We start from the raw sequence: 6822 nt of genomic DNA, 5'->3' as shown, positions 1-6822 counted from the left end.
GGGTAGAGGGGCAAAGCTAGGTAAGGTCTAGGTCAGACAAGTCTGCACTCTGGTTGCCCATGTATGGGCACAAGTAGTCACCCCAGTGAGGATTGGATGGCAGTTCCATGGCCACTAGGATGATGCTTCAGTGAGGAGTACACCTGCTCCTGCTGAACAGATGAGTCCACATGGGGAGTGGGGAGTAGCAAGCAGTATTAAGCCCCAACCAGCTCCCACATACGTGGCAAGACAGGTCTCATACCTGCAGTATTCCACCTGCAGCAGGTACCTGGTTTACAGGCAGCCAGCACTCAGAACTCAAAATGACACAAGGCCATTCCTGAGGGAGACAGACCATAGCTTTCAGACCATGTCCTTCCCATTTGTCCCATGAAGCAGGAACACCCAGCTCCTGTGCCCAAGGCTTTAGCAAACTTTCTACTTGTGCCTCAGTTCTGGACAAGTGGTTTCATCTTCAATCAGGATTATATCACAAATCTCAGGAGCTTCTCTTAACCAGTGACTGCCATGTGAGTTAGCTGGCTGACTTCTGCAAAGTCCTCTGTGCTGTAGAGGATCAGGAATGGCTTCCCAGGTCCCCCCGGTGACTGGGAGTGCATGCAAAGCATGTCCTGATCCTGCTCCTTCTCATATACTCCCCACTGCTCAGTACGTCAGCTCCAGTCCTGGGTAGGCTTAAGGCCTTCCTCCGTGGCCTGGATTGCCAGGTTTCCCAGTGGGAGTGCATACACCTGATGCAGTTTCTGCCACCCTCGTGCTGGAGACTCACGGTTTTCCACCTGGCTTATGGTGTAGGCTGCAGCCACCACTTCCTTCAAAGGGCCTGTGGTTTCATTCAGTTTTCCTGTTAAGTTCCTGTGTTGCTTCTTGGAAGAAGGCTCATAGCATGTCTCTGCACTATTTGGTCTTTGCAAGTGGAAGAAGCACACTAACAAAACCTTCAGTCTACCATCTTGAAAAACTACTAACAAGGTAATTTTATATGAGAAAACCAATCAGTTAACGGCCAAAACAGAAAAAAGAAGAAAAATAATAGACCTTCCTAAGCAGGAGGGTATTCTCCGGCACTCTGCTCCCGGATTTAATCTGCACCATTGACTGTTTGGGTCTCTAAGCTGCCAGCCTGCAGGTGCTCCAGCAGCATTCCTTGGTCTCAAGTCTCCTAGGCCACACTGCAGGTTTAGCCTTGACAGGCTTCAAAATTAATCTGTACACACACACACAAACACACACACACACATATCACACACACATATATGCACACATTCTATTGGTTCTACTTCTCTGAAGAATCCAGACTAATGAAACCACTAAGAGTTGTGCATTTTTCAAAGAACATTAAATTTAGGAGATCTTTTGTAAGGACGAGACCACAGTATACTTTTGTACTTTTAGAAATGTTTTATTTATTAAAACTCATATCAACAAGAAAAATCTTACAAATCACTTTACCTTAAGAATTTCAAATTCATTTTTGACCTCAGTAGTTAAATTTCCGTAGGAATTTGTATTTTACTTTCAAATTAATATGAAAGATTTTTCTGAATACTTCAAATCAATAAGTTGCAGATGAAACATTTCCAAAAGTGAATGCAAAACTTACTGCTAAATTTACACTTAAACATATTTCTAAATTATGTTATAAAACATGCTGCATGCTTCTATTTTATGTTCTTATTTATTTTTATGTTTTCCTAAGATTATTATTAGCTGTACTTTATCTTTTTACTAGGGTCTCTGTAATATTACTTAGACATAATTCTAGAGCTAACTTCCAAGTATAAAATAATATGAATATGCACTTAGCGAGCTATGTTTACAATATATGGATATATGGGCATATTCTTATTCTTATTTGAAGAATGAATTCTGGTAGGCTCCCATAAAAATATTAGAATAGAAGCCGTCAAGTAGTTTGAGACTCTCTTCTATAGTTACATGTCAGGGTTTATGATACCACGGTGTTTTAAGATTAGATGTGTCACATCAGTTTTACTTTCTGCAATTGATGCTTCCCTCTGGAATGATGTACTTTCTAGTTTCGGTCAAGAAACATAAAATAATTGATTTACTGCCACTGCAATATACTAATTGAGTCTGTTAACATTACTTTAAAAAATGAAGAATGTGTTTTATAGGAATTTTAATATCATTAGTGGGAAATAGAACATGTATTTTAGAAAACCAGAAGACTGAGTTGGCATATATAGCGTTCCTTTTTAGAACGGCTGACACGAGCATCTTGGAATTACACTGTTGGACTCTGTTTCGGCTGTGTTACTGTGTGTTGCAACTTGCATTGATTTTATTTCTTGCACCCACTTACTTTGTAATGTCCATGATTGCCAGTGTGGATTTACTCTTTCTACTCTGTGTGAATCTTGTACATTTTCTGGGTCTACCTGCCTAATTCAGTTTCTTGCATTTTCTCCCTTTACTGCTTGTGCCAATTCAAACCAGAGAGAATTTGTGTTTATAAGCATAAATTACATTAGTACTATCTTACATTGAAAAACTAATGAAAATTAAATGCCACTTGTCATATTCATCTTTTTGTTTTTTAAATTTTATTCATATTGATAAACCATAATTTTATATATGTATGGGGTAAAAGACAATGCTTCAGTACATGTATACATTGTAGATTGAACATCTTCGACTAATTATTATGTCCATCACCTCATATACTTACCACTGCTTTGTGGTGAGAACATGTAAGATCCACTTTTTAAATGATTTTGAAATACACAATACATTACTGTTAACTGTAGTCACCTTGTCCTGCAATAGTTCACCAGAACTTATTCCTCCTGCCTACATGAAACTTTGTACCCTTTGATCAACACTTCTCCTTTCTCCACCCACCCTGCCCCAGTCACTGGCAACTACTATTGTATTCTCTACTTGTAGGAGTTCTAACTTTTAGAACCCACTCATAAGTGGGATGATTCAATATGTTTTCTTCTGTGCCTGGCTTATTTCACTTATCATAATGAAATATCACTTCGTATATTATACATTATGCATTATATTACAATGGTCATTATCAAAAAGATGAAAATTATCAAGCATTGGCCAGGATGTGGAGTAAAGGGAACTCTTATACTCCATTGATGGGAATGTACATTAGCACAGCCATTTTGAAAAACAATATAGAGGTCTCTCCAAAAACTAAAAATAGAATTACCATATGATCTAACAATTCCACTTCTGGGTAGATGCTTACAGGAATTGATATAGGTATGTTGAGGAGATATCTGTGCTTTCATGTTCATTGCAGTATTATTCACAATAGCTAACAATTAGAAACAACGTAAGTGCCCATCAACAGATAAATCGATAAAAGAAAAAGTGGCATATAGTACACAATGGAATAATAATCAGCCTTACAAGAAATGTAATTCTGTCACCTACAACAACGTGAATAAACCTAGAAGACATTATGCTAAGTGAAATATCCTTTTGTTGAATCACACCTGTACATACATATTCTCTCTATAAAATATCTATTAAAAATAAAAATAAAATATCTGTTGATCAATGTGTACTCATAGACTTTTATTTTTGAAATTGTTTCACTTAGCCAAAATAATAATTATTTTTTAAATGATGATAATTGCCCTTTGATGCTCAGAAGGTCACAATTTTAATGTAAAAGTCCTTGTAAGTTCACCCCTGTAAAATAAAGAGGAGCTCTGGGAGTTATACAGTGAATTACAAAAATCATATATATGGCATCTTGATGAATTTTTTCTTCATCAAGAAACTTATGTAAGAGGCATAGCAAGGTCATGCCTTTCTGGGTCTCATTTGTACTGAGTTATTTCTTGGGTGCCTCTGGATCTTTGTGCTAATTCTTCTTGTGGGGGGAAAGCATGTAGAACAATGTTTAAGATATTCTGTTCAGGGAATGGAAAGTGATGAATTTCATCCAGTTAAACATAGGAAAATATTAAAAATTGAGCACAATTCTTCCTAGTTCTAGGAACTATATAGATACTCTTCTATATGTATCAGTTAGCCAAATCTTAGGCTAATGAGGTAGGCTGTTCCTCACTTTATGAAGGTATAGGAGAGGTTTTGGGCTTAAGGTTTATGTTTGTTTTTAATAAGAGAGATAGGAAATTCAATTCAAATTCTTATATATTCAGATGTTTTTGTCCGAAATTTTCCTAATTTTCTTATTGTACATGTCTGTAACTCTCACGTGTCAAGAAGGGGACTGATCACGATAAAGCACAATGGTAACTCTGTTTGAAATACACAACACTCCATCTAAGGTCGTCTTTGTTTCTCCTCTGGTGGAGATAATCTTGATTTATGGGAGAAGTTTTTTCAGAGCCTCTTTCACATCCTTATTCCTTAGGCTGTAGATCATGAGATTCAACATGGGGAATACCACAGTGTAAAATGTAGAAACTATTTTGTCCATATCAAAAGAATAGCTAGATCTGGGGAGAGCGTAGATGTAGAGAATGGAGCCATAGTATAAAGTGACAGAGGTCAGGTGGGAGGAGCATGTGGAGAAGGCTTTGAGGTAGCCCTTGGAGGAGGAGATCCTCAAGACACTGGTGATGATAAAGAGGTAGGAGGCCAGGATGAGCACTGCGGGGCAGATGACATTGGAGGCCAGCAGGAAGTACATCATAATTTTATAGCCGCCCTTCTCGCCACAGGCCAGCTCCACCAAGGGAAGCAAATCACAGAAAAAGTCATCAATGATGTTTTCACGGCAGAAGTTAAAGGAAAACGTTTTCTTGGTGATGATTGAAGAGTTAATAAAGCCACCACAATATGAGACTGCTACCAGCAATGCACACAGCTTTATGGACATGGCCTGGGCATAAAGCAGGGGCTTGGAGATGGCCACGTAGCGGTCATAAGCCACGGCAGCCAGCAGGTAGCACTCACTATAGGCCAGCCCTGCAGAGAAGAAGAACTGACACAGGCAGCCAGCAAAGGAGATGCTTTTGTCTTCAGAGATGCAGGTCACTAGGATCTTTGGGGTGTAGACAGAAGAATACCAGAGATCCAGAAACGACAGATTTCCAGTGAAAAAATACATGGGTGTGTGGAGGCAGGAGTCATTACAGATCAACACGATGAGGGTGCTATTTCCTACCACAGTGAGAGAGTACACGCCCAGGAACACCACGAAGAGGCCCAGCTGCATTCCTGGGTCTGTGGTGAAGCCCAGCAGTATAAACTCAGTCACTGTATGATTGCTCCTCTGCATGGCTGTAAGGAATCTCACCTATGGGGAAAGAAAATGAGCTCAGTTTGCATTACTGTCATGAATATGTAGAATTATGTTACATAAGATCACATTTGCAGTGTTTCGTGAAGTCTAGAACCAACAATCTAATTGTTTGTTTTAGAAAGTCTTCATTTTGCAACAATCAGGCTTTGCAATTATGTATTCAATTCTAAATTTCTTAAGTTGTTTAATTATGTTTTTCCTTTAGGAATGACTGTTCAAGTGAAGAAAAGATGTACTTATAATTGCTATTTTTCTTATACTTTGATCCTCTTCCTTTTGTCAATTTTCTCTTTTGCTAAATGTGTACATTTCTATTTTTAAGTATCACTTGTTTGTCTTTAAAATACTGGGCATCCCTCTTTTAAATATAGTTTAAAAAGAATAAAGTATTTTTCCTCTAGTTTCTATGCATTGAAACATTATGAAAGCATTATAAATTCATATCTCATAATATTATATATAGGCCTAAGAAAATACTAAGAAAAGTATAAAGGGAAAAGAGAATAGATACAATGTTTTGGGGAAAATGTGTACAGAAGAATGATATACAATGATGAAATTACGAAGTACACAGTATTTACTATATTTTACACATATTCTATAATAAACACAATAATAACAATAATTGAAACACCAGTTTTAAATGTAATTTATGTATACTACAGTATTTCTTATGATGACTTGAAAATCTACCCACTCTCTTCAGGATTCTCTTCATATAGAACTACAAATGTTCTATTGAAATGGGTAGAGCAAAATATATCTAGCATACATCTGTCTTACACTGTAAAGACAATTCTTGACAGACTAACTTCTCATTAACCTAAGTCATTTTGTAGGTAAATAAGTTAAAATTCAAGTGTACATGATTTGTATTTGTATGATCTTCCTCTTGGGACCTAGGAAAAACACTCAGTTCACACTCAACTCTCAATATTAGCATTAATAAACATCAATGTTAGTAAACAGTGTTATTTCTGAGTAAATATAGAACAATATAAGATTGTTCCACTTGAGCTTTTGCTACCTCTACTCCATTCAAGTTGCAATGATCTCACATGATTAAACCGAATGATGAAGTTCTCTTCTGATTAGATCTACCTGCAGCGTTTGTCATAGTTTCTCACTCCTTCTCTGCTGGAAAATCTTTACTTGGTTTTCAGGTTGTCATACCTGTCTGGTTTGCTTCTACTTCTCTTGCTGCATGTGTCTCAGTGCTACAGAACAGACTTTTGAACTTTGGAGTGTCCCCAGAATCAGCGCTTGAACCACTGGTCTTCTCCATCTGCCATCAGTTTCTGGTAATCTCATCCAATCTGATGACTTTAAATGCTTCCATATGCACATGACTCCAATGTTACCTCCCCTGACTATGCCTCCTCCCTGAAGTGAGACTCATGGATTCCAATGCCCAATTAATATTTCTTCCCTAATGTCTCCTGGGCATCTTAAGAAAATTGAGTTCACAGGGAATACTGTTTTATCATTGTATTCTAAGAGCTATATTATTTGCTTAAGTGTTATCATTAAGAAAAAAATTTTACTAACAATCCTCCCTA

General features: G+C 37.5%; 1 protein-coding gene across 1 annotated transcript; it reads right to left on the bottom strand.

The window, feature by feature from the left end:
• Positions 1-1742: 1742 nt before the first annotated feature.
• OR9G1 (olfactory receptor family 9 subfamily G member 1) lies at positions 1743-6532 on the bottom strand. Its single transcript, NM_001005213.2, has 2 exons — positions 6437-6532; positions 1743-5257 (listed from the first exon to the last, which is right to left on the bottom strand). The coding sequence occupies exon 2, from the start codon at positions 5237-5239 to the stop codon at positions 4322-4324; it is 918 nt and encodes a 305-aa protein (NP_001005213.1). The 5' UTR covers positions 5240-5257; positions 6437-6532; the 3' UTR covers positions 1743-4321.
• Positions 6533-6822: the final 290 nt, after the last annotated feature.

This window comes from Homo sapiens, chromosome 11 (assembly GCF_000001405.40).
Source record: "Homo sapiens chromosome 11, GRCh38.p14 Primary Assembly".
NCBI classification, from domain to species: Eukaryota; Metazoa; Chordata; class Mammalia; order Primates; family Hominidae; genus Homo; species Homo sapiens.
Note: the sequence above shows the minus strand (reverse complement) of the source record. Positions and strands in the feature narration are given on the sequence as shown.